The 27,452-nt window shown below is 44.1% G+C and overlaps 2 protein-coding genes and 1 long non-coding RNA gene across 5 annotated transcripts in view, besides 4 other annotated features; 2 read left to right on the forward strand and 1 right to left on the reverse strand.

Annotated features, from left to right (window-relative positions):
• Positions 1–2,211, forward strand: part of SMARCAL1 (SNF2 related chromatin remodeling annealing helicase 1) — a 70,570-nt gene extending 68,359 nt beyond the window's left edge. For both annotated transcript variants that reach the window (NM_014140.4, NM_001127207.2), the window contains exon 18: positions 1,896–2,211. In NM_014140.4, coding sequence (NP_054859.2) covers positions 1,896–2,135 — 240 coding nt within the window. In that variant the 3' untranslated portion in view covers positions 2,136–2,211. The remainder of the gene's footprint in view (positions 1–1,895) is intronic.
• On the reverse strand, positions 2,615–17,910 carry RPL37A-DT (RPL37A divergent transcript). 2 transcript variants are annotated; one of them, NR_183316.1, is made up of 4 exons: positions 17,765–17,910; positions 7,275–7,401; positions 6,284–6,535; positions 2,615–3,094 (listed from the first exon to the last, which is right to left on the reverse strand). It is a non-coding gene; the product is annotated as an RPL37A divergent transcript (long non-coding RNA). The 2 variants fall into 2 exon arrangements; NR_183317.1 differs by having other exon boundaries at positions 6,284–6,538.
• Positions 11,725–11,784: an enhancer, noted in NCBI's record as "active region_17098". NCBI's record gives its function as "activates an Ori minimal core promoter by ATAC-STARR-seq in GM12878 lymphoblastoid cells {active_cell/tissue: GM12878}" and the evidence as "EXISTENCE:reporter gene assay evidence [ECO:0000049][PMID:35858748]".
• Positions 15,247–15,316: a silencer, noted in NCBI's record as "silent region_12305". NCBI's record gives its function as "represses an Ori minimal core promoter by ATAC-STARR-seq in GM12878 lymphoblastoid cells {active_cell/tissue: GM12878}" and the evidence as "EXISTENCE:reporter gene assay evidence [ECO:0000049][PMID:35858748]".
• Positions 17,419–17,508: an enhancer, noted in NCBI's record as "active region_17099". NCBI's record gives its function as "activates an Ori minimal core promoter by ATAC-STARR-seq in GM12878 lymphoblastoid cells {active_cell/tissue: GM12878}" and the evidence as "EXISTENCE:reporter gene assay evidence [ECO:0000049][PMID:35858748]".
• Positions 17,689–18,078: an enhancer, noted in NCBI's record as "active region_17100". NCBI's record gives its function as "activates an Ori minimal core promoter by ATAC-STARR-seq in GM12878 lymphoblastoid cells {active_cell/tissue: GM12878}" and the evidence as "EXISTENCE:reporter gene assay evidence [ECO:0000049][PMID:35858748]".
• Positions 18,002–23,244, forward strand: RPL37A (ribosomal protein L37a). The gene is made up of 4 exons (NM_000998.5): positions 18,002–18,035; positions 18,428–18,556; positions 19,107–19,189; positions 20,499–23,244. The coding sequence occupies exons 1-4, from the start codon at positions 18,033–18,035 to the stop codon at positions 20,560–20,562; spliced, it is 279 nt and encodes a 92-aa protein (NP_000989.1). The 5' UTR covers positions 18,002–18,032; the 3' UTR covers positions 20,563–23,244.
• Positions 23,245–27,452: the final 4,208 nt, after the last annotated feature.

Genomic DNA, 27,452 nt, shown 5'->3' on the forward strand with positions numbered 1-27,452 from the left:
AGACATGACCAAAAAAATCTTTAAAGGAGAGCCTGGGGGTAAAAATCAGCTGGCAAAGATCTGTAGGCTGTTTGAAATGGGAAGAAGCCTGAGGCAGGAAGCGCAGTTGAGCTGTTGCAAATCCATGCAGTACCAAGTGATGTGGCCCAAGTAAAGATGGTGCCTGAAGGAGAGAGGAGGGAACTAATGGGGGGAACAAACTTGCATAAGCCGAGGACTCTGTTTGCCTGGATGATTTCCACCTGGGAGACTACGAGAATGCAGGTAGACTATAAAAACTAGACTTATGGGAAGAGAAGCTGCTTTGAGAATATAGGAGATGAGAGATCATTTGATTTTTTATATTTATTTATTTATTTATTTATTTAGAGACAGGGTCTCACTCTGTCACCCAGGCTGGAGTACAGTGGCACTATGCTGGCTCACTGCAACCTCCGCCTCCCAGGCTCAAGTGATTCCCCCCATCTCAGCCTCCCGAGTAGCTGGAACTACAGGCGCATGCTGCCAACACCCGGCCAATTTTCTGTATTTTTGATAGAGATGGGGTTTTGCCATGTTGCCCAGGCTGGTCTCTAATTCCTGAGCTTAGATGATCCCCCCGCCTCGGCCTCCCAAAGTGCTGGGATTACAGGCGTGAGCCCTTGCAGCAGCCTTATTTTTATGTATTTATTTTTTTTTTGAGACAGAGTCTCACTCTGTCACCCAGGCTGGAGTGCAGTGGCGTGATGATGGCTCACTGCAACCTCTGCCTTGTGGGTTCAAGCGATTCTTGTGCCTCAGCCTCCCAAATAGCTGGGACTACAGGCACGCACCACCATGTCTGGCTAATTTTTTGTATTTTTAGTAGAGATGGGGTTTCACCACGTTGGCCAGGCTGGTCTCGAACTCCTGACCTCAGGCGATCCATCCGCCTCGGCCTCCTAAAGTGCTGGGATTACAGGTGAGAGCCACTGAGCCCAGCCAAAAGATCATTTGATTTTAAACCAGTTTAGTTTTATGAAACTGTGGGATGTCAGTGGAGATATGGAAAATATACCTCTAAATTGAAAAATGGTCAAAGTTGGAAATTTAGATGTAGGAAAAATCGGCAGAGGGGTGATAGTGATCGTGTGTTGTGGTTGTATCCACTGGGCATGGTTTTAACACTACACCATTGTCATCAATGTATAGATGCAGTTGGTGGGTATTTTGATTATTTGTAATTTAAGGTAATCAGAATAGGTACACATATCTACTTATGAATATGTTAAATGTGTGTATGTTTTTTCAACTACTTTGAAAATTAGGTATAAGCCATGGCTGAACACAGAGATTTGGAAGTTGGGGGGCTGGGCACATGGTGGCTCACACCTGTAATCCCAACATTTTGGGTAGCTGAGGTGGGCAGATCATTTGAGCTCAGGAGTTCGAGACCAGCCTGGGCAACATTTAGTGAGATCCCATCTCTTAAAAAATTATAAAAATAAAAATAAATTTAAAAATAGAGATTTAGAAGTTGAATTATACCTTAACTGACCCTTAGTAGAGAAAGGCTTTGGAGGAAGTGAGATCTTGGGTGCTATTTCAGTATTGAAATAATGATTTGGAAAGTTCAAAGGGAGAAAACATTTCCAATGTAAATTATAGCGTGAGAGCAGCTTCTTTGTTGCACTCACAACCATTTCTTTTTCCTAACTCAATGAGCACAGAGAGGGTAAGATGTCAGACACTAAAACAGTGAGGCTGCTTTAGTGATGGTTTGCTGAGATGATGCACACTTGCCATCGTGTAGCTCCCTGACACCATGAAATGTGTGGTCTCTCATCTTTATATTCTCTCATCAGCCCTAGTGGAGGAGAGTCAGTGTTGGAGCCTGGGCTCTTCCTTTTATCTTTTGTTTTCTTTCTCTGATGAAGGACCCAAAGCAGCAGAAGATCTACGACCTATTCCAGAAGTCCTTTGAGAAAGAAGGAAGTGATATGGAGCTCCTGGAAGCAGCAGAGTCCTTTGACCCAGGAAGTGCTTCAGGAACATCTGGAAGTAGTTCCCAGAACATGGGAGACACCCTGGATGAAAGCTCATTGACAGCCAGTCCACAGAAGAAAAGGAGATTTGAATTTTTTGATAACTGGGACAGCTTTACGTCTCCCCTGTAAAAGGGGCAAAAAGAAAAAAATAAAAAGCATTTTAAAATCATGGAATTGAAATAAAATAATGTATTTTGTTTTAAAACTTTTTGAGCTTCTCTTGCCATTGCAGCAGTGCCTATGCCTGTGTCCAGGCTCAGCAGGAGACCAGGCCGAGCATCAGCTTTCCATTCCTGTGTCATTACGTGTGGGCTTGCTTGGGGTCTTAACCTCCGCTCTTCTGGCTTAGGGATGGACACAGCGAGTTGTAGTAGTGGGTAATTCATGTTCTCTAAAGAATGAGGTCCTTCCTACACAGTCCCCATAATCTAGAATTTTAAAATTTAGTGACTCAACAAATATTTATAGGGCACCTAATTTGTGCAGGCACTGTCCTAGGTGTTGGTAGTCATTCATCCAACAAAAGACAAAAGCGTGAGCCTTTGCCGAACTTACGCAGCGGGAGAGGCAATGGTTGTAGGTTCTCTTTTCCAATATAACTCTTCATGGACACTGAAATTTGAATTTTATTAATGTTCACGTATCACAAATTATTTTTTTTCTGCCATTTAAAAATGTGAAAACCATTCCTTGTTTACCAGCTGTACAGAAACAGACAGTGGGCTGGAAGTTGTCCACTGCCCATAGTTTGCCAATCCCTGGTTTAGAGCAGCGTGTTCCATTAGCAATGTAATGCAAGCTGCATATGTGATTGTAACTTTTCTAATAGAACATTTAGACTTAAGATTAATAATATAGGGAGGCTGAGGTGGGAGGATCACCCGAGGTCGGGAGTTCAGGACCAGCCTGACCAACATGGAAAAACCCCGTTTCTACTAAAATTACAAAATTAGTCTGGTATGGTGGTGCATGCCTGTAATCCCAGCTACTTGGGAGGCTGAGGCAGGAGAATCACTTGAACCCGGGAGGTGGAGGTTGTGGTGAGCCCAGATTGCGACATTGCACTCCAGCCAAGAGCGAAACTCCGTCTCAAAAAAAAAAAAGAAAAGATTAATAATGCATTTAACCCAATATATTAAATATATTATTTCAATTTACAAACAATATTTAAAAATTATTAATGGGAAATTTTAGATTCTTGGACTGGGCACAGTGGCTCATGCCTGTAATCCCAGCACTTTGAGAGGCCAAGGTGAGTGGATCACTTGAGGTAAGGAGTTCGAGAGCAGCCTGACCAACATGGAGAAACCCCATTTCTACTAAAAATACAAAAATTAGCCAGGTGTGGTGGCACATGCCTATAATCCCAGTTACTCAGGAGGCTGAGGCATAAGAATCACTTGAACCTAGGAGGCGGAGGTTGCAGTGAGCCAAGATCGTGCCACTGCAATCCAGCCTGGGCAACAGAGGAAGATTGTCTCAAAAAAACAGAAAAGAAATTTTACATTCTCTTTTCTGAACTAAGTCTGAAACAATGTATTTGATACAGGCAGCATCTCAATTTGGACTAGCCACAGGTTTCACCTGCTCAGTAGCCATATGAGACTGGTGGCTCCTGTATTGGGCAGCTCTGGTTTAGAGAGTGATGAGGGAGTAGGATGTCATGTGGGGAAGAGCAATAGTTGATCATGTTGAGGAGAGGGACAGAATGATGCAGGGCTGATAGGCCACAGTAAGGAATCTGGGTTTAATTCTGAGTATGAATGGGAGCCACCAAATGGCTTTGAGCAGACATATGAGGCGATCTGATTGTATATAAATGAAAATATTTTTTAAACTTATATGTATCTTTTAAACAGAGACACAGCATCTCATTATGTTGCCCAGACTGGTCTCAAATTCCTGGCCTCAAGTGATCCTACTGCCTTGGCCTCCCAAAGTGCTGGGACTACAGGTGTGAGCCACTGCACCTGGCCCTTTTTTATTTTTTAAAAATATAATCAGGCCCAACATAGCAACACCCTGTCTCTATTTAATAAAATAAAATAAAAAATATTTCACGCCAATGCATGTGCAGAAAATAGAGCAAGAAAAGTGGGCAGGGGTAACGCTTAGGTAGGAAGCTATGGAGCTACTGCGATTATCCGTGGGGTTGGTGCTGGGGTGTGGCTGAGTATGGGTCGAACCATGGAGGAGATGAGAAGTGGTTGGGTTCTGGACGTATTCTGAAGGGAGCGATGGAAGGATATGTGTAGATAGATTGACCAAGGGGCATTTGTGGAAGAGAGGCTGGGACTTTGGTTTTGGCCTGAGCAAAGTGGTAAGAGAAGAAAGAGTGGGAAGGGGACACTGGGGAGCCAGGTAAAATCAAGGGTTTGGTTATGGACTTGTTGAATTTGAAATGGCTGGGAGATAATCTAGCAAACTTGGAGACACCCCACCCAGATCCCCTTCAAGGAGGGACTTGCTCAGCTGTGGGGAGTGAAGTTGGTAGATGGCTTCCACCTGGCCACAACTGGCCTGCAGAAAGCCACTTTGTCTGAGGTCACACCCTTCTTAAGGCAGCTTGCATCCATGACTGAGCAAGTCGGGGCACAAAGGCTGGGCCACTTTGGCCTGATGCGGGGCACCTCTGATGAAATACTTAACATTGTGTTACAAGTGCCTGCATATTCAGTACAGTAACATGCTATACAGGTTTGTAGCCTAGGAGCAATAGGCTAGGCCATATAGCCCAGGAACTATGTCCTGGGCAGTATTCGCTGCAGAGCTCCCTGCTCCCTTCCCCCTGCTCCCTGCTGGATTGTCTAAGGTTCCCACAGGCCTATATCACAGTTCACCTCTTCCCCCTGCCAAATAGGCCTCCAGCCCCTTCCTTTCACAGGTGTTAATCCCTAATAGATTATCTTGTGCCCCAAACTCTGTCTTGGTGTCTGTTTCTGGGAAACCCACACAATCTAACAAGATCCAAGTGGAGATGTTCTGCAGGCAGTTAGATGTGTGAGTCTTCACACTGTGGAAACGTCAGAGAAAGAGCTGTGGATTCTGCCCTAGCATGAGCTGAATGAGGTCACTGAACGGGTAAGAGTGGCTTCTGAAGAAAAGCAGTTCTGACTGACCCCCACAAATTGCAACATAGAGACAACGATTGGGCAGGGAAGTAAATGAGGAAGAAAATCAGAATGGGTGCCCAGGAATGGGAGTTTTTGGGGTTTCTTGTTTGTTTGCTTTTTGAGACAGAGTCTCACTCTGTTGCACAGGCTGGAGTGCAGTGGCACGATCTCGGCTCATGGCATCCTCCGCCTCCAGGCGATTCTTCTGCCTCAGCCTCCAGAGTAGCTGGGATTACAGGTGTCTGCCACCACCCTCAGCTAATTTTGTATTTTTAGTAGAGATGGGGTTTCACCATGTTGGCCAGGCTAGTCTCGAACTCCTGACCTCAAGTGATTCACCCGCCTCAGCCTCCCAATCTACTGGGATTACAGGCGTGAGCCCCGGTGCCCAGCCAGGAATGGGAGTTTTTTAAAGTATTTTACCAAGGAAGGAGCTGCTGCTCTGACTGGTCTTACAGAAAGACAGTGAGCCAGATGTACGTTAGAGTTTAGAGTTAGCGCAATTTTCACAACAGCAATGAAAGATGCCTAATTTGTCTGACGTCATGGTGTGTGGATTTGTTAGACTTAAATTGTTTTCACTATTCAGTACTTACTAGGTGCCAGGCACTGGACTAAGTGCTTTACATAAATTGTCACACTTAATGCAATCTTGGAGGAAGGTAGTGATATTTTGATTGTGCAGGTGGAGAAACTGAGCCAAGAAATGTTACAAATTGCTCAAGTCCAGCTAAGAAGTGGCAGAGCAGAACCAGCAACCAGGCCACCCCACCCCTAGAGCCCACCCATAGGTGTGCTGTTCCCCAGCAGGAGACCCAGTGGTGCCCTGGTGGTCTGTTAGCTGAGTTTGGTGCATGACTCCCTTCCTGAAGGGCTTGGCCCTGGCTGGAAGTCTGTCTCTGCGGTCCACCAGCTGGCTCTCTGCAACAGAGAACAGGAAGACACTGGAATGCACCACTTTCTTATCCTTTTTAGTTCCCTTTCCTGAGTTTCTCAACAACTCCAGTTGACAGAGTAGATCTTTTGAGGACACCTAACCCCCCTCACTGTTGTTCAGGGTGGGGTCGGGGGAGGCTTCCTGACGCTTCAGCACAGCTGGGACTGGGGTATCCATGTCCTGCGTAAGGAAGGCTCTGGCCTCAGGAAATGAGTGAAGATGATCACCTTGTTTCATGGCGTGTGGCTGCTGTGCTTCCAATTGGTCACTGTGTCAAGCTGCCGGCTGCTCCTTGGGCCAGATCTCTCCCAGAAGGCCCGGTCTAAGCATCTAAGTGGCATCAGTTGCTTCTCCCAGCTTGCTGAGGAGGACTGTGGGTTAACCGTTGAGTCTGCTTTCCACTGCCTTATCCTGCCATGAGGAGCTCTGCTGTGGCCCCAGATCTCCATAAATAACTAGGCCTTTGGTCTCCTCGTTACCTGCTGAAATGAAAATCCAGGCCCAAAGGCCGGGAGAGAATGTCTTGTCTTGGCTTTCCTTTGGGCCACCTGAATTTTCTTAAATCTTCTCACTCCTAGCTGTCTGTTTTAATTTTGTTAGATATACCACTTTGACATTTGACTATTATAACGGTGACTTGTATCTTGTCAGAAACTTCCAGAGGACAAATGTTGGCTCTATCTAAATTTTATTATGATTTTGTCCAAATCAGGTACTCAGTTTTCTAAGAGCAAAAAACAGAGCAGCGGCTGCAGTTTTGTCTAGTAAGCTATACTACACCCCCTTGTGAGTGGTTGCTCTGAAAAGCCAATTATAGTCATTCACCACATAACAACTTTTGGTCAACAATGGGCTGCATGTGCCATGGTGGTCCCTTAAGATTATAATGGAGCTGGAAAATTCCTATTGCCTAGTGTCTGTCATAGCCATTGTAATGCTGTAGCACAATGCATTACCTCTCCTATGTTTAGATATGTTTAGATACAAAAACACTTACCATTGTGTTACAAGTGCCTACATATTCAGTACAGTAACATGCTATACAGGTTTGTAGCCTAGGAGCAATAGGCTAGACCATATAGCCCAGGTGTTTACTGGATGCTACTATCTAGGTTAGTGTAAGTACACTCTGTGAGGTTCGTGCAATGAAAAAATTGCCTAACGACAAATTTCTCAGAATGTATCCTGGTTATTAAGTGATGCTTGACTGTACATCACCTCATGGCTATTGCCCTTGGAGGTTTATAACTGGCAATGGACCCAGAGATCAATGCAGGTATGGAGAAGCACGAAGTCATTCACGTCGTGTGTGGCGTGATGGGAGGTGATCCAATGGGGACAGACCCTGTATGAAAAGAAATGCTAAAATTGTACATAAATTTTGCCCACATGTTGTTTGCATGGATTTTTGCAGTCTTAGGGGTCTTGTCAATCGAAACAACACAGTCACTTCATTAGGGAAAAATCTTTGGAATAAGTCAAGGCCCAGGAAGCAGAAAGGATTTTGGATCACAGGCAGATCTTGAGAGAACTTCAGGAAGGAATATTTCTTCCTCACCTGCCCCAGTGCCCATCCAAAGCCTCTGCTCTGTGTATCTGAATCACATGACTTGAGAAACATGAAGGAGCCCTCACCCGGGCCCTGTGGACATCTCCCAAGATGCTTCCACCTGTCTGCTATTCACTCAGCCCCCACCAGAGTTTTGGTGCAGCTTTTCTGTGGGCTCTATGGACTTGGATCTCTTAGGATCTCATTCTCTATTTCCATTAACAGTTTCTCCTCTAGGAAGGTGGTTAGGATACAATGGGTATATGGGGTGTAATACAATGGTTATGCTTTGAAAATAAAAGTGAATGTACAGGTGATTTTAGAGACATTCATACCCAGTGTTGCTATGGAGAATCACTGATCATCATTAAATTACTAAATTCCTGTCGTATTCACCCCAGGACCTGCAGCACAGAATGGCCCTCATGATACTGCAAGAAGTCAGGTTAGTGGCTGCCAATGGGAGGCCTTGCTCTCGTTCCTTGCAATTTGGTGCTCTTATTTATTTATTTATTTGAGGCAGAATCTCACTCTGTCACCCAGGCTGGAGTGCAGTGGGGCAATCTTGGCTCAGTGCAATCTCCACCCCCTGGGTTCAAGGAATTCTCCTGCCTCAGCCTCCCGAGTAGCTGGGATTACAGGCACCCGCCACCACGTCTGGCTAATTTTTGTATTTTTGGTAGAGATGGGGTTTCACCATGTTGGCCAGGGTGGTTTTGAAGTCCTAACCCTAGGTGATCCACCCACCTCGGCCTCCCAAAGTGCTGGGATTACAGGCGTGAGCCACCACACCCCGCCTGGTGCTCATATTTAAAACCATTATTTGTCTGTAGTCTTAGTAAATATGGCCTCCATCTGAGGCCTCTAGTTGAACCTCAGTTTTAGCTGTTCTGGAGAAAAACGAACTCTCTCTTTGAGATGTCCCTGAGGTCCTCCAAAGCAAATTTTATTTATACCATGTAGCCTATTTTAAGTTAGACCATCCCATATGTACTCTGAAATTTGTTAAGAGTCACCTAACCAGTTCTGTATAATTCAGCAAAAGACACTTGGACTTATTTATATAGAGAGTGAATACCACTGGGTTTAAAGTGGTATTAATATTTCCACACTAACTCCTTTTCCTCCTTCATTTCACAGCACAGTCCAGACCCCCAGAACTGTGTTTTCTGGAAGCGTCAACTGAAATGAAGAAAATCTAGGCCCATCTCCTCCCACTCTTGTCCCTGCCATCAATTGTACCCTTACAGGATTTTACTAGAAGTCCCCTCTGGCCCATGGAGCTGGTCTCTGCCTTCCCTCACCAGGGTCACTAAGTGGTATCTTGTTTCCTGAGTGATCCTGGTTGATTTCTGCCTCTAGGGCTGGCATCAAGGAAACCTCTAAGAGGCAGCAAAGAATCCTGTTAGTCTTGATCCACTTGTGCTTGAATTAATCATGTCTTTTTCCTTCTTGGCTTCAGAGGAGCCTTTTTCTAGATCAGTGGGAGAGCTGAGAAATTGAGCAGGAGGTGTCATCCCCACACCACTGGCTCTGAGGTGTTGTCTTGTCTGTTCGTTCTCGTCTGTTAGAACCTCAACGCTTTTTGAAGTTCTATCCTCTTTTTTGCAAAGGGGAGAGAATGAAGTCCAACCTTATATTTACTCCATCCTCCCACTTCTCACCAAGTTCAGAATTATCAACATAAAAAGTGGCTCGGAAGTTTAAAGAGGGTTAATTGGAGAAGTCTCTTCTACCTGTGTTTTGTTTTGGTTTTGTGTTTTCCTGTGCAGTCTCAGTGAAGGAAATGAATTCCTGACCATAGCAGAAAGCATTAAGAAGCCTGTGAGTCACAGTCTTTTGGGCATTATGACAATCAACAGTTATCTGATTTTGCAAGATCCTCTGCACACATTTCTCTCCCACCCCCTATTCAACAGATTTTGAGGCTCTTTTTCTCTTTTTTAACTCCTTTTTTTGGGGGCAAAATATAATATACAGAACAGTTCATAAAACAATTTAGTTTAACAAAATATTTTAAAATACACATCCATGTAACCATGACCCCAAGGTTATGAAAATAGTATGTTGTGAGGCCGGGTGTGGTGGCTCACGCCTGTAATCCCAGCACTTTGGGAGGCCGAGGCAAGTGGATCACCTGAGGTCGGGAGTTCGAGACCAACCTGACCAACACGGTGAAACCCCATCTCCACTAAAAAAAAAAAAAAATACAAAAATTAGCTGGGTGTGGTGGTGCATGCCTATAGTCCCAGCTACTTGGGAGGCTGAGGCAGAAGAATCACTTGAACCCGGGAGGCAGAGGTTGCAGTGAGCCGAGATCGTGCCACTGCACTCTAGCCTGGGCGACAGGGCGAGACTGCCTGGGCAACAGAGCAAGACTCCGTCTCAAAAAAAAAAAAAAGAAAGAAAGAAAGAAAAAAAGAAAAAGAAAATAGTATGTTGCAGAAGCTTTTGTGTTTTGCCGTTAATGTTTAGATCTACAATCCACCTGCAGTTTATTTTTGTATATGGGGTGAGGTAAGGCCAAGGTTAATTTTTTCCATATGAATATGCAGTTAGCTCGGCACCACTTATGGAAAAGACGGTCCTTCCACCTACTGCTCTGCAGTGCCTTCTTTCCAATATTATGAACTGGATGTAAAAATACATCTAAGGCTGGGCGCAGTGGCTCACGCCTGTAATCCCAGCACTTTGGGAGGCCAAGGCGGCAGATGAACTGAGGTCAGGAGTTTGAGACCAGCCTGGCCAACATGGTGAAAACCCATCTCTACTAAACATGCAAAAAAATTAGCTGGGCATGGTGACGGGCGCCTGTAATCCCAGCTACTCAGGAGGCTGAGGCAGGAGAATTGCTTGAACCCGGGAGGCGGAGGTTGCAGTGAGCCGAGATCGTGACACTGTACTCCAACCTGGGCAACAGACAGAGACTCTGTCTAAAAAAAAAAATTCATCTAGAAAAGTATAAGCTCAAAAATAAGAGTCCTGCATTCTCCTCCCTCCCTCCCTCAGCCCTACCTCCTAGAAGTAATAACTAAATAATTTGAGATAAAGCCATTTGTAATTTATCTCTATGCATACAAATATATGTAAAATACACATAGAATCTGTTTTTACAAAAACTGTATCAAATTCTTCATACTGAAAATGACTCACTTCACATGATGTACTTGGCCATTGTTTCATATTGATCTACCCATTAAATTATGATTTATTTATTTATTTATTTATTTATTGAGACAGAGTCTGTCTCTGTCGCCCAGGCTTGAGTGCAATGGTGCGATCTCAGCTCATTGCAACCTCCGCCTCCTGCTACTCGTTAAATTAAGCTTAACCCAGTGCTGCCTTGTTACATATTTTAAAGTCCGCCTAAAGGTTTCTCTGTGCAGAGTGAACTATAACCTAACTAGATTGGTAAACAGACTGGGACCCACTCTTGTAACAAGTAGCCAAGTCTCAGGCAATTACCGCAGCCATATGTCAGCCAATCACAGGTGGCCAACCGTTCACACTGTGTTCAAATAAGGCAAATATGCAACCAATCCAGCTCTTTCTGTCCTCACTTCCCTTTTCTGTATGTTACTTTCTTTGTTCTGTCCATAAATGTGAACCAACCATGTGGCAACCCTGGAGCTGCTCCGGACCTCTTCTGGTTGTGGGGGCTGTCCAATTCACAAATCATTCTTTGCTTAATTAAACTCTGTTAAATTTAATTTGTTGAAAGTTTTCCTTTTAACATACCTTATCCCACTTAAGAGTTGCCAAGTAACTACTCCAGTCTTTATGTGTGCACTTCCTGTGTAAATGCTCTGTGACGGGTCCATTAATAACTAGAACGAGTTTAAATGGAATTTGAGGGGAGAAGGAGGAAAGGAAAGAGGGGTTGCCTGAGTCAATTTCCCACACTCTTATTCTTTCGGGGCATCCAGGACTGCCTTGGAGGGCCTCACCTTTCCTGCTGGGTCAGCTCTTGCCTGTGGCTCTGGCCTCACGGGACTCTCAACAATGCTGTGCAGGCCCCACTCTTGTCTGTGGCCCCCAGGGGCTTTGTGGAGAGCAGGCTCTCTTGAGGCATGAAGTGAAGGAACCACGCCCCAATAAACCCTTTCTGTCTCCAGCACAAGATGAATTTGGAATGATGCTTGCACCTCAGATTTCTTTCAAGAATAAAATGTTCCATATGCCCCAAGAGAACTGGTTAACAGCTACAAGAACTCCTCTCTGGAGGTGACTTTTAACTTATTTATTTTTCTAAAGGCAAAGAGTGAATGTTGAGGGCTCCTTAAGAGCAGAGGTGAGCCAGCAGTGATTTTTACTGAGTCTTTTATGGGGACACATTATAGTTAACATTCTCCACACCGGATGGTACTCTAATAGGGATGGAAATTTATGAGCCCACAGAAAAGACAAATTGAGACTTTAGGAGAGGGCCGATTCTCTGAAGTCACTCAGAGCTGATTTCATGAGTGCTATTTGTACATCCTCAAGCTTGCTATTTAAAGATAATTGTTCAGTTTTGACAAAATTGCTCTGAACATGAACAATTTCCTCCTATTATGGAGTGTCTCATTTTCAGCCGCTTACTGCATTCCTACTCATGCATTCCCTCTTCTCTTGCTCTCTCTCTCAGACCCCCCTGAAGGCCAGAGACGTAGGAGGCTCTGCAGCGGAGGGCGTGGGGGAGGCAGCACATTTGCTAAATGATGATCTGAATTAGGCTCTAGTGCCAGCCCAGGATGGCTCACCTCAGCTCTGCCTGGACTGCCCCAGCATGAAGCTGACTCACCCACTCCCCAGCTCAATTGAGCACCATCCTGTGTGGCCAAGAGGCACAGTCTGAAAAGGGAGGATCATGGTGAGCATTTGTTTAAGACTCCTTCCACTAGTCTCCTTTGTTTGTATCAACATGGATATATTTTTGTTTTAATTTATAGTTTTCTGGAGGCAGGCATTGCTTGGGTGGAGAGCTTTCCAGATAACATCCCTGAAATGCAGTGCATTTCCCTTCTGAGGGAAGAGGGACTTGTTCCCTTGGCCCCTTGCCATCTTCCACCCTAACCTATGGGGGCAGAGGGTGCATGAGGCCTGTGGTGGAAGAGAAACATCTTGGGCACATCTCACTCCCTTTGTGGGCCTCAAGCGGCATCAGTTACCATGACTGTAGTGGTTTCATTGTGTCCAAGCTAAAGAAATTAAGGAGAAAAGAGATGGGCATATTTTTAAGGGAAAGAAGAAGGCAGATCTTCTGTACTTCCTTGAGTATGGCAGAAGAGGAGAGAGGATTGAAAAGGCAGAAAGAGATGTTGAAATCAGGTAGCAGCAGCAGCAGCAGCAGCATCTCAACAAACATACTGGCCACTATTTTAAAATGTTCACTAGACACTTCATGGAAGTTATTTTATCTTCCTGAGACCCTTTATTGTACAGTATACTCATTTTGCAGCTGCGGAAAGAGACTTAGAGACTTGAATCATGTGATACAGTGGAGCGAACACACGTTTATGTGTCACTTAATGGCTATGTGACCTTGGGCAAGTCATTTGACCCCCCGGGCCTCAGTTTCCAGTTTGGGCTACATTATCTCTAAAGCCTTTTTCAGTTCTGACATAACTGGACTGACTTTACAAAGCAGAGAAACCCAAACACATGAAACGCTTCATATACCCATCACCATTATACCATGCAAGGTAACAATCCCCCATTCAACAGACATTACTGCTGACACGTCAGGCTCTTGTATAGGTCCTGGGATGCAGAGGTGAACAACACAAGCCCTGTCCTCATGGAATTGACTTGTGGTGACCTCCTTGGGTGGTGGTGGTGGTTGTTTTAAAATAGACTTTATTTTGTAGAACAGTTTTATAGTTATATAAAAAAATTGAGGAGAGAGTATTTTTGTATACCCTTACCCAATTTTCTCTATTGTTAACTTTTTTTTTTTTTTTTTTTTTTTTGAGATGAAGTCTTGCTCTGTCGCCCAGGCTGGAGTGCAGTGGCACGATCTCAACTCACTCCACCTCCACCTCCCAGGTTCAAGCAATTCTCCTGCCTCAGCCTCCCGAGTAGCTGGGATTATAGGCATGTGCCACCATGCCTGGCTAATTTTTTGTATTTTTAGTAGAGATAGGGTTTCACTGTGTTAGCCAGGATGGTCTCAATCTCCTGACCTCGAGATCTGCCTGCCTCAGCTTCTCAAAGTGCTGGGATTACAGGCGTGACCCACCGCGCCCGGCAACATCTTAACATTAGTATGGTAAATTGGTTACAATTCATAAAGCAAGATTAATACATTATTATGACCTAAAGTCTGTAGTTTATTCGGATCTTCCTAGTTTTTAACGTATTGTCTTTTTTTTGTTCTAAGATTTCATGTTACATTTAGTCATCATGTCACCTTACGCTCCTCTTGGCTGTGACAGTTACTCAGGCTTTCCTGGTTTGACAGTTTTAAGGAGCCCTGGTCAGGTATATTGAAGGATGTCCCTCTTTTGGAATTTGTCTATTGTTCTCATGATTAGACTGAGGTTATGGGTTTTGGGAGAAAGATCACAGAGGCAAAGTGCCATTTTCATTCCACATCAAGGGGACATAGTAACAAGATTATCACTGTTGATGTTGACCTTCATCACCTTGGCTGAGGTCGTGTTGGCTATAAAGTTACTCTTTTTTCCCCTTTCTATACTGTGCTCTTTGGAAGGAAGTCATTCTGTGCAGCCCACACTTAGGGAGTGGGGAGTTATGCTCACCCTCCTTGAGAGCAGAATATCCACATAAATTATTTGAAATTCTTCTTGGCCGGGTGCAGTGGCTCACACCTGTAATCCCAGCACTTTGGGAGGTCGAGGAGGGTGGATCACGAGGTCAGGAGTTCAAGACCAGCCTGGCCGTTATGGTGAAGCCCCGTCTCTACTAAAAATACAAAAATTAGCTGGGTGTGGTGGTGCATGCCTGTAGTCCCAGCTGCTCAGCAGGCTGAGGCAGGAGACTTGCTTGAACCCAGGAGGCAGAGGTTGCAGTGCGCCCAGATCATACCACTGCACTCCAGCCTGGGCGACAGAGCAAGACTCGGTCTCAAAAAAAGAAAAAATAAATTCTTCTGCAAAAGAGAGTTGCCTCTTGTCTTTCATTTATTTAGTCTATCATTTATTTATATCCACATGGACCCATGGATATTTATTTTACACTTGGGTTAAATCAATACTACCTTATTTATTGCTCAAAATTTTCTAGCTTTGGCCATTCGGAGTTCTTTCAGTTGACTCCTGTGTCTCTCTGACATATCCCCATCAGTGTAGGGTTTTCTGAACATTTCCTTACTTTCTGGCACAAGATACTGCAGGCTCGCCTTGTATATTTCCTGCTGCAGTCCTAGAATGAGTCACTTCTCTAAGGGGCCCTGGTTCCTTTTATTAAAGAATGATATTATAAACCAAGATCTGGGGTCTGGGCATGGTGGCTCATGCCTGAAATGCCAGCACTCTGGAAGACTGAGGCTGGAGGATTGCTTGAACCCAGGAGTTCCAGACCAGCCTGGGCAACATGGCAAGACTGTCTCTACAAAAATAAAAAAATTATTTGGGCACTACTCAGGAGACTGTGGTGAAAGGACTGCTTGAGCCTGGGGAGGTCAAGGCTATAGTGAGCTGTGATCACACCACTGCACACCAGCCTGGGGAACAGAGCAAGACCCTGTCTCAAAACAAAACAAAACAAATAAAAACAAACCCTGAGATCTGGGGCAGTAGGTATACTCGTCGTTACTGGAGATGTTTGGGGTTTTTTTTTTAATGGTAGTTTTTTTAGATTATAAAAGAAACACATGCTCATTATAAAAGATAATTAGAAAATGCAAAAAATGTATGCAAAAATCAATTTGACTATTCCCACTATCCACTACTTTTTGCTTTTTCTCCTCCTTGAATTTACACAGCCAGAGCTGGAATAACAGATTGGGGAGGATAAAGAGACAACTACCTTTATTCCACAAAATTGTGCAAGATGTGCTGACATAAAGCACATGGTGGGTCACTGCCCCAGTGGCACTCAAAGTCTGGAAGCTCTTCCTGGAATCATAGGAGGGAAGAACTGGACAGGACCTTGAAGACCACCTGGTCCAGCTCCTTGTAAATAAAGATGGTGGCTGCTGGGAGGTGGGGAGGTGGTTCTCCATGTGGGGACTGTGGCTTACCTAAAGTCAAACCACAAGGTAGTTACAGATCCTGGCCCAGACTGAGTGCCAGGGACCTGATTTTAATTCAACTATGTTTTCTGATGTGCTTTTTCAGTGCACTAAATATTATGATTTGGCGTAGTACAAGCTAGCAATTAGGAGAACTAACTTTGGGATCAGACAGACCAGATTTGAGTTCTAATTGCTGTGTGACATTGAGCAAGTTTCTTAACTTCCCTGAGATGAGTTTCTTTTTTCTTTCTTTTTTTGTTTTTGTTTTGAGAAAGGATCTCACTCTGTTGTCCAGGTTGGAGTGAAATGGTGTGATCATAGCTCACTGTAACCTCTGAACTCCTGGGCTCAAGCAATCCTCACGTTTCAGCCTTTTGAGCAGCTAGAACCACAGATGTGTGTCACCATACCTGGCCTATTATTTTTTTGTGTGTGTGGAGATGGGGTCTCGCTATATTGTCCAGGCTGCCTAGAACTCCTGGTCTCAAAGAATCTTTTCCAAGAGAGACTCTGTCTCAAAAAAAAAAAAAAAAAAAAAAAAAAAAGAAAAAGAAAAAAGAAAGAAAAGTATATAATAACTTGTCAGAGGTCCCACAGCTGGTAAATAGCAGAGTTCTGTTTTGAACCCATACTGAATCCAGAGCCTCTAAGTTCCTAATCATTACATGAGACTTCCTCTCTTTTTCTTAGTAATGAAGATAATAATCATTCCTATCATAAAGGATAATGGAAAATTAAATGAGAACATCCACATAAAATACTCAGTGCCTACCATGTGTTACCCTCCAACAATTGTAACCATATGAAGTACATAGCTGTTTGCAAGTTGCTTTGATTTGATTTGATTCATATATATTTTTTGAGACAGAGTCTCACTCTGTTGTCCAGGCTGGACTGCAGTGGCGTGATGACAGCTTACTGCAGCCTCAACCTCCCAGGCTCAAATGATCTTCCCACCTCAGCCCAGGTATGCAAGTTGACTTTAATACAATTGTGAGGAAAAGTGAACAGGTGCAAAATTATTTGAGACAGTTAATATTAAGCTTTGGGAACGGAAGCTACTTGTTACCGGACTTCTGATTGGAATCAGGGCCACACAATGCCTTTCAGCTCCCATGGTCTTTCTTGGCCCTCTAATCATGGATTCTCTCTTACACTCTTATTCCAGTAGTTTTCTGAGCTTCTTATTCTCTGGATTAGCCATCCCCTGAAAAAAGGCAACCAAACTTCCTAGTGTGTGTGTTCTACGTGAAGAAAGAAGATCATGTGTCTAGTTCCAGAACACACCCTCCCCACCCCCGGCCTCAACCAGAAATCCAATTCTTCCCTGCTGACCCCTTTGAGAGACCTGGAGGGACAGAGAATTGACGGTGGGTAAAGGGTAAGATGTTGGAGTTTAAGGGTTCAGGCCTGGACCAGGAAGCTGTCTTAACAGCCTAGTGTGGGGCCATGGAAGTGAGTTCTGAAATGAAGTGGAAGGCAGGCCATCCGCACTGAGATGCAGCAGCTGGAACACAAAACTCCAAGGTGACTGTTAACTTTTCCCCAGCCTTCCAATCTCAGACTTTCCTCAGGAAACACCAGGCTCTTCTGAATTAGTCGCGAGCAGAACCATCGTCCTTTCCTTCAGAACTCTGACCAGTTTGAAACTGTCTAACTTCTTAATGTGGCTATATGATCGTTTGCAGCTGGCCTGCAACTTGTTCTGGGAATGGAACCTTGGATTTTAGTCACCACTGTCGCTAGCATCCTGCACAGTCAGCCACTTTTAGAGAGCATAATGCAGAGGGGGAAATAAATGAGATTTGGAATAGAGACGGGGTTTCACCCTGCTGGCCAGGCTGGTCTCGAACTCCTGACCCACCCCGCCTCCCAAAGTGTTAGAATCACAAGCGTGAGCCACCGCGCCCGGCCCCACAAATGTAAGATTTATGCACTTCTCCAAGCCAAGTGCTGTGCATCGAATGGAGGAACTCGTACCTTTGCAGGATTTTGTGATATATGTGAAATAATCCGGACATGCTTCTGCTATGGTTGTTTGTCGCCATAGTTTGCGAATCTGGGTAAACCTGGATGAGAGAGACGCCTTACAATTGCAAACATTTCTCAGGAGGCCGCCTGAAAACGCCCAAACCATAGAGCTCAGTTCCTAGCTAGGCCTCTACCAGCCACTTCCGCTCGTCCGCCTAATACCGCGCCTGCGCACCGCGTCTCTTCCTTTCTGGGCTCGGACCTAGGTCGCGGCGACATGGTGAGTGTGGGTCTCTGTGCGGCCTAGAACTCTATCTGCCTGCATCTGTCCTTGTTTTCTTCTCCCGCACCCATCTCCTCTCCTGCCTTACCCCGTGTTCTCTCCTGTCTCCATGCCTTTGCAGGAGACACCATTGTCGGAAGCTCCCCAAGGCGGAGGGGCGGGGGCGCCTTGGCTGGGCCTGGCGCGCTCCAGCCGGGTTAACGCCGGGCCTTCGGAGCGCGCGGCCAGCCCTGGGCACTGGTTTCGTTGGGTTGAATTTAGGGAAAACTAGGTCATATGTAATTCACATGTCGGTCACACGTCAGTGAGGTGGAGGAACGGTGTGTGGAGGCTCCAGGGCCTGCCTGGGTTCCAGGTCTATCACTGGTTTCTCCCTTCACTCTAAACAGGCCAAACGTACCAAGAAAGTCGGGATCGTCGGTAAATACGGGACCCGCTATGGGGCCTCCCTCCGGAAAATGGTGAAGAAAATTGAAATCAGCCAGCACGCCAAGTACACTTGCTCTTTCTGTGGCAAAGTAAGTAAGGCAAAGTCTCTGGTGAGAGGAGAGGGAGGGCAGGTTTCTTACCCAAGTGAGGCCTGACTTCAAGGTATTTTATAAGCCGTGTGCTGGTGGGCAGTTGGAATTACTCATACCGTTGATTATGAGTTTTAAGATAAAAGTGTTGATGGTAACTTCAGATTTTGTGAGACGTTTTTCATTTAAAGAAAACCGCTTAAACGTTAATGGGTAAAATAATCATTTGACAGAGTGCCCCCAGCCTAAGCCAAACCTGCTTTGTGGGAAATGATTCCATCAGTTTTGTCTACTGATGTTTCTGCACCAACTCCCAAGATGTCTGTGCATCTAATACCATTCTACTTGTTCTGCGAGGGATTTTTGTTTGATAAAGGTTTGAACGTTTATGTGCAAAATACTGCATTACAGCAATCCCTGTTTTGTTTTTGAGGGAGAAAGGGAGGCTTTCACATCCCTGACAATAAGGTGAATCCAAATTTAGACTTCTGGATGCTTGTAAGAGAAAATACTTACTTGGTTCATAGTGAAAATTGGTTCTCTTTTATAGACCAAGATGAAGAGACGAGCTGTGGGGATCTGGCACTGTGGTTCCTGCATGAAGACAGTGGCTGGCGGTGCCTGGACGTACAAGTGAGTCTAGTTCCTTGTGGTATTTGGAAGTGTGTGGACCACATAGGCCCAAATTCCAGGTTGCTGCTGGATGGGCTAGTTTTAACACTTTCTCAGGACTGAGAGAATAAGGATGCCTTTGTATTTTCAGGATTCTTCCGTGGTGGTTTATTTTCAGTTATTGAAAGAGTAAACACAAAACTACCAAAATAGAAGTCGGAAATCTAATTCACAGACTACTTTAGAATTTGATGGTCACTGGGCACATTGTTGTGAACATTGTCATGATACTGTGCAGGTCCATTAGTGGGGCTGAATCTACTGAACGTTGATTTGCACTGCAAGTTTTGATAAAAATAGGTGAAGGGGTCAGTTAGTTCAAAACTGTATTTGGAACTTGAGGCCATCAGGACCACCACAGTTTCGTCTTTCTGAACAGTATTAGACTGCTGCAGGTTTGTGAATCTGCAACTCAGTATCACCTGACAGGGCGATACTACAAACACTATACTACAAACTAGCATCTAGACCTGTGTTGTCCAATACACTAAGCACATATATGGCTAGTGTAATTAAAGAATTGGATTTTAAAGTTTCAGTCAATTTAAACTTAAACCGAAGCAGTGGAAAATGTTGAAATATATATATATTCCTTGTGGGGGTTTTTATTAGGGCAGAATGGAAAATGGGAACTAGAGTGCTTTCTTGGTTCTGATAGGAAAGTGAATTATTTATATACTTACAATACAGGATGGTGATTTTCAGGTATAGTTCCTGAATTTTATGGTAAAACTTTTGTAGTCATTTCAATAGCTGTCTTTCCCAAAGGCACTTTAGTGTCCGCTCTTATTTCCTTAATCATTGTTCTCACTGTATCATCTTGTAATTTATTCATTTCTTGTAATCTGTCCATTCCCTTTTAATAAGTTTAGGTCAGCCTCTTAGAACCATTTCTTTTTCATGGGATGGGGTAGGGGGAGTTAAAGCTTGCTTGTCCACAACTGAGTTACTTATAAAAAAAAAAGCAACTCTGGTTGAGAAATCAGATGCATGAGATTGTATGTCTAATTCTGCAAGATCCTGAAGGCATGGCTCTTAAAGGATGCCATCATGTAGTTTAGAAGCCACTAATTTCCGAGGAGTAATCTAATGTTGGTTAGATCTTTGGATTGACTGCAGCAAAGTATTGGTAGAGCAGTCTATCTCAGTATAATTCTTTCTAGGAAAATTTGGGAAGCGACTTTAACACAAAAACGAGGCAGATTTACTTATTTGCCATTTTCTATGTTAACATGCTTAATTATGTTGGAAACTGAATCTTTCTTTCCAGTACCACTTCCGCTGTCACGGTAAAGTCCGCCATCAGAAGACTGAAGGAGTTGAAAGACCAGTAGACGCTCCTCTACTCTTTGAGACATCACTGGCCTATAATAAATGGGTTAATTTATGTAACAAAATTGCCTTGGCTTGTTAACTTTATTAGACATTCTGATGTTTGCATTGTGTAAATACTGTTGTATTGGAAAAGCATGCCAAGATGGATTATTGTAATTCAGTGTCTTTTTTAGTAGTCAAATGGTAAAATGCAGCATAAGAATATAAGTCTTCCAAGTTAGATATGAGTGTTAGCTTTTTATAAGTCTGCTCCTGCCAGTTTGACTTTGAGATACATTGGAGCCAACTGTAAACTTTAGTTTTTAAATTACAGTTAGTTTTTTTGTTTGTTTTTGAGGCGGAGTCTCTGTTACCCAGGCTGGAGTGCAGTATACCAGTCTTGGCCCACTTCAACCTCCACTTCTTAGGTTCAAGCGATTCTCCTGCCTCAGCCTCCTGAGTAGCTGGGATTACAGGCACGCACCACCATACCTGGCTAATTTTTGTATTTTGAGTAGAGATGGAGTTTTCACCACATTGGCCAGGCTGTTCTTGAACTGACCTCAAGCGATCCACCTGCCTTGGCCTTCCAGAGTGCTGGGATTACAGGTGTGAGCCACCACGCCCAGCCTTGCATTTAATATTTTTATAATGTGTCTAGGCTGGGTGCGGTGACTCACGCCTGAAATCCCAGCACTTTGGGTGGCTGAGGCAGGTGGATTACTTGAGGCCAGGAGATTGAGACCAGTGTGGCCAACATAGCAAAAACCCGTCTCGACGAAAAATACAAAAAATAGCTTGGTATGGTGGCACATGCCTGTAATCCCAGCTACTTTGGAGGCTCAGGCACAAGAATCACTTGAACCTACGAGGCGGAGGTTGCAGTGGGCCAGGATCGTGCCACTGCACTTTATTTAGCCAGGACAACACTCTGTCTCCAAAAAAAAGTTTCTGAAGGTAAAAGATATACTAAAGGATATACATATACTGCCTCTTCTATGATGTTTCATTTGACCTACACCATCAGCATCTTCAGGAAACAGTATGAAACTAATTTCACATTAAATGTTGCAAACGTCTGCAATTCTCCAGTTTTTAGTTTGCACGTAAGGATTCGTAGGATTGATTTCAGATTGACAGATGGTTGTAGTAACAAAAAAATGAATTGCCTTGGAGAATTCGAGTTATTTTAGGCCTGCCTTTGACACTTTTATGCACTTAATTCACTGCCAATTTAGTCTAACTCCTCAACCATCTGTGGTATGGACTTCTCAGTCCTCCTAATTGGTATGTCTTTTATCTATCCCAGAGTCAGTAGTCCTTTAAGGATGCAAATTTAATTCGATAAGAATGTGGATTTACTTCATCTTTAGGACAGAGTAAAAACCTTTATTTCACTTGGTCTGACCCCTATCTTCTATAACTTGTTTTTTTGCTCATTACTGGCCTTTGCACGGATGTCTCCCTTCACCTGTACCTCCTGCATTGCCTCTGGCAGAAACATCGCTACCCCAGGAGAATACTTCACTGGGTCAGGCATTTGCTAGATCCATAGCAGTAACTCATCTGTGGATCTCATTTGTGTCACAAAATGGTACTCCTACTGATTTTGTAATGTGAAGCAAGTACTGTGGGTCAGTAGGGGTAGGACCAGGAGTGACAAGTCAGGATTTTCAGGCTTCATAGGAATGACACAGCTCTCCAGGTGAATCTCCTGGAGAATTCTCCATAGGATCTCCAGGTGAGTGACCAGGATTTCATGTAAGCATAGGGAATTGAATGAGCATTAGATGGTCTAATGCTGCGGTTAAGAACACCAACTTAGCCAAACTGCCTAGATAGTTGGGTGACTTGGGTTAAGTGACTTAACCTCTCTGCTTCAGTTTCCTGTATAATTCTTGGTAGTAGAATGGAGTATATGCTGGGTGTTTGGATTATTAATTTGGAGTCTTACAAAGCTGCTATGTTACATGATTAGGCATGGAAAACTTCGGTTTTTATAATCAGTGAAGTACTGCTTTTTGTTTGTTTTCTGAGAGAGTGTCTGTCACCCAGGCTGAAGTGCAGTGGCATGATCTCAGTTCACTGCAGCCTCTACCTCCCGGGTTCAAGCAGTTCTCGTGCCTCAGCCTCCGAAGTAGCTGGGATTACAGGCTTATGCCACAAAGCTCAGCTAGTTTTTGTATTTTTTATTTTTAGTAGAGATGGGCTTTCGCCATGTTGACCAGGCTGGTCTCAAACTCCCAGGCTCAACTGATAACGTCTGCCTTGGCCTCCCAAAGTGCTGGGATTCTGTAAGCCACCTCACCCAGCCATGTATTGCTTTTTTATGACAGTTAAAAGAGGAAAGGGCGGGGGACAGTTTACAGACCAGTGAAAGTGCTGAGATAAATATTTTTATACCTAAGGAAATAGTGATTTTCCCAAGATGATAGGGAGGCAGGTGATGTAGATAGGGCTGAAGATTAGATTTCTGGCTCCTATCTGTGATTTTCTGCTGTACCAGTCTGCCTTCTATTTTATGGGCTCAGTATTCCTTACCTGCCTCTTCCCATGCTAAAGATGGCCCACCTTCGTTTTGTTATTTAAGCAACTTCATCCCCTGGCTTGTTTTCACAGTGGTTTTCTGAGCCTTTGACTCTAAGTCATCTAATTGAACATTGTGTTGTGATATAAAAAGTAAGTTAGGCTTGTGTTTTTCACCAGGCCATTTCATTGTATCCTAACTAGGCGGGTGGCTGTGATAAATGTACAGATTAGCCAATACAGAATCACGTCTAATTCCAAGTTTTCTTTTGGGTATGAAGTTGAGACATGGGGAAGCTTGAGCTTTGTTTTGTCAGCAACAGGTGAGGTGGAGAACTGGGACTGAAGGGGTTTGGGGAGGATCTGTTTAAGATTGGAAAAAATACATCAACTTGGGAATGTAAGCAACTAGAACCAAGCAATCTGTACAACGTTTTTACTGTTGGCTGTCTTCCTCTGGGAAACTAAAAGCCATTTTGTTGATAGCACTTCAGGTCAGAATTCATCAACAGGGAATGGAAACATTGTTTATATGCTTTGGGGTACATCAAGATAAGTTGAGGGTCAAGTTAATGTCATGCCACAATCAACCCTGTATGTCAGGGCCCTTGAGAGCAGAGTAGTGTCGGGAGAGTGGGTGGTATGGTTGACACAAAGACCCACAGGTATTTTTATGGGTTCACTTAATGAAGCAGGGGCTTAGTTGAGGGTAGAGACTGTTCATTAAACCAGCCTTTGTTGACCACTCCCTGCAGTATGGACAGGACATGATCACCATCCTTAAGTCCCACTATAGCAGGGGGGAAACAGTATGCTTAATTAAGCTTAATTATAAACTCTTTGAGTTAGAAAACTGGTGAAAGTGTTATTTCCTCCTGAAGTAATTATGTATATATACATGCCAATTCCAATCAGAATGCTAATTTTTCTTTTTAACCCCAGAGCTGTGCAAAATGTTTCTCAAATTTATTCAGGAACATAAACAACAGTTGGAAAGGACAAGAACTGTCTCCAGCATAATGGTTAAGAATGTGGAGGCTGAGGCAGGACAATGGTATGAGCTGAGACTGCACTGCAGCCTGGGCGACAGAGCAAGACTCCGTCTTAACCAAAAAAAAAAAAAATAATAATAATGTGGATTCTAGAGTCAAGCAGGAGTTATTTGGTTGTTCTGCTATACTAGTTGTGTGACCTTGGAGGAATTATTTAATCCTCTCCTGAACTTCAATCTTTTTTTTTTTTCCCCCGAGATAGAGTCTTGCTCTGTCGCCAGGCTGGAGTGCAGTGTCATGATCTTGGGCTCACTGCAACTTCTGCCTCCTGAATTCAAGCGATTCTCCTTCCTCAGCCTCCCAAGTAGCTGGGATTACAGGTGTATGCCACCACGCCCGGCTAATTTTTAGTAGAGATGGGGTTTCTCTGGCCATGTTGGCCAGTCTGGTCTTGAACCCCTGGCTTCAGGTGATCCACCCGCTTCGGCCTCCCAAAGTGTGGGGATTACAGGCATGAGCCACCGTGCCGCCTAATCTTTTCATCTGTAAGATGGATATAGTAGTTTTCCTCTCAAACAGAACAAATTAGTTAAATTTGGATCTAGAACACTTATAGGTTCAGGAACTGTAGATCTTGGAAAGACGAATAACACTTTGGACATAATGCTGTTTTTCAAAGATGGGGTGGTGGGTGGGTGTTGGTGGGTGTTAGAGGGTGCTATCAGGCCAAAGGAGAAGGAATCAGGAGGGAAACTGCCTATGGCAAAAGCATGAGTTACGATGTCAGGGGAAGGGAGACAACAGGGTTCAGGCCAAGGAAGCCTTTCTGTTTTTGGCCCAAGGAGCGTCAATAAGATCTTTGAAAATACTTTGAAGTCATTTTGTGTGTGTGTATGTGCATACACACCTGATTTGTTTTATTTTTTATTTTTATTTTTTGAGTTAGGGTCTGGCTCTGTCGTCCAGGCTAGAGTGCAGTGGTGTGGTCTCAGCTCACTGCAACCTCTGCCTCCCAGGCTCAAGCCGTCCTCCCACCTCATCCTCCCCAGTAGCTGGGACTACAGGTGTGCACCACCTCGCTTGGCTACCTTTTGTATTTTTCATAGAGACATGGTTTCACCATGTTACCCATGCTGGTCTCAGACTCCTGAGCTCAAGCAATCCACCTGCCACAGCCTCCCATAGTACTGAGATTACTGGCATGAGCCACCGTGCCCAGAATATGAAACACTTTTGAGGTTCAAATCTCTTTGGAATCTTAGGATATTCCTTGTAAGAGGAAGGCTTATTTTCCTCTTTTCCATAGGATCTGCCTTTCCTGTTTATATTGTCTATGGGAAATTGTTGTATGGGCCTGTTTGTCATGGGTTAAATTGTAGCACATTTGTGCTAAGGATCAAATAATACCCTATTTTCTCAGGGGCTTCTCTTAAGTATTTTAGTGTAATTTTTGATTACTTAGTCTCTGGCTTACTTCAGGCTGTAGAGAAAATGAGATGTATTGGCTGCATTTGCACAGGAACCATAAAAGGATTGTTCCAAGCACTATGGGAAAAGGATGGTGTCATTTGCTTAGAGGGCATTGACTGGAGATAGAAAAAGCCATTCTGAAAAAACGGAAACCACAAGAACTGAGGACAGGTTTAATTCCTGGTGGCTGAGAGCTGGTTCCTGTAGCTTCTCTGTTCTGCTTTCCCATTGAGTTGGCTGCACCCAGTCTTTCCAGATACAGAAGGTTGGGACCTGCAGTGACTGGGAGAATGCTGTAAGCAGCAAGATGCCAACATCACTTCCATCTTAGGCCCATTTACAAGAGCATTAGAAGAGCGAGTTTCTACCTCTGTGCCTCATGGTTCCTTCCAGGCAATAATCAGTGAAAAAAGTAGGAGACTGACCACATGGATCTACAGCTACATGGTTTATTGTCTACACCCACTAGACCAGAGTAAGCTGAAGTTTGGGGCATGCAAGTAAAAGGGAAACACTTTTTTTTTTTTTTTTTTTTTTTTTGAGATGGAGTCTCACTCTTGCCCAGGCTGGAGTGCAGTGGTGTGATCTTAGCTCGTTATAACCTCTGCCTCCTGGGTTCAAGTGATCCTCCTCAGCCTCCTGAGTAGCTGGGATTACAAGCATGTGGCACCACGCCCAGCTAAGTTTTGTGCAGAGACTGGGTTTCACCATCTTGGCCAGGCTGGTCTCGAACGCCTGACATAAAGCGAGTGGCCTCACAGGGTGTTAAGATTACAGGCATGAGCCACCACAGCCAGCCAATACTTTTATACACAACCGTATTGGTCCATTCTTGAATTGCTATAAAGAAATACCTGAGACTGGATAATTTATAAAGAGATTTAATTGCTTACAGTTCCACAGACTACACAGGATCATGGCTGGGGAGGCCTCAGGGAGCTTTTACTGTGGTAGGCAAAGCCAGAGCAGGAATTCACATGGCTGGAGCCTAGAGCAGGGGGAAGAGTAGGGACGGGGGAGTGGGTAGGAGGGGGTACCACACACTAAAAACAACCAGATCTTGTGAGAACTGCCACAAGAACAGCACTAGTGGGGTGGTGCTAAACCATGAGAAACTGTCCCCATGATCCATTTACCTTCCACCAGGCCCAACCTCCAACATTGGAGATTTCAATTGAACATCAGATTTGAGTGGGGACACAGATCCAAACCATATCAACAACTAAAGTTTCTTTTTATGATATTATTTTTGGCATACCCGAACTCCCAGACTCCCCAGCTATTTTCCTGGTTGGGTAATATATCAGTCAGTGTCGTAGCAGGGAACAGATGACACATTCAAATTACAAAAATACAAGGTATTTATAAAGACATTTACAAAAGTGTGTGCAGGATGTTGGAAAAACCATAGGAGATAGTAGAGTGGCCTGAAAGGGAGGAGAGTGAGTAGTTACTGGAAATTGTTAAGGAAAGTCCGGTGGAAAGGGTGACCTTAGAGTGATTCAACCAATGAAATACGGCCATGCAGAGAGTGACCCAAGGGGATGAATATCCCAGCCTCATTCTCCTTATCTGCTACTGTTCTCCAGTGACCAAGCCCAACCAGTAGGCAAAAGAACCCATTCACATAGTACATAGAGGTCAGCCTCCTGGAGCAGAGATCAAGATAGAGAAGAGAGGAGGATGGCACCAGAGAGACATGTGAAAAATGTCAAGCCTGCCCTCTGTTAGGACTCTACATTCTATTAAGATCAGAGGTTGATCTGTTGAAGATTTTAAACTTCAATAGGTTGTCATTGTGCAGTCCTTGTGGGTAGGGACTAGGTTTAGTTCTTTATGTCCTCTTGTATTAGCTACTGCTAAATCCAAACCACCTCAGAACTCAAGAACTGAAAATAATAAGCATTAATATTACTCAAAAG

The sequence above is a fragment of the Homo sapiens genome, chromosome 2, assembly GCF_000001405.40.
Source record: "Homo sapiens chromosome 2, GRCh38.p14 Primary Assembly".
In the NCBI taxonomy this organism is placed as follows: domain Eukaryota; kingdom Metazoa; phylum Chordata; class Mammalia; order Primates; family Hominidae; genus Homo; species Homo sapiens.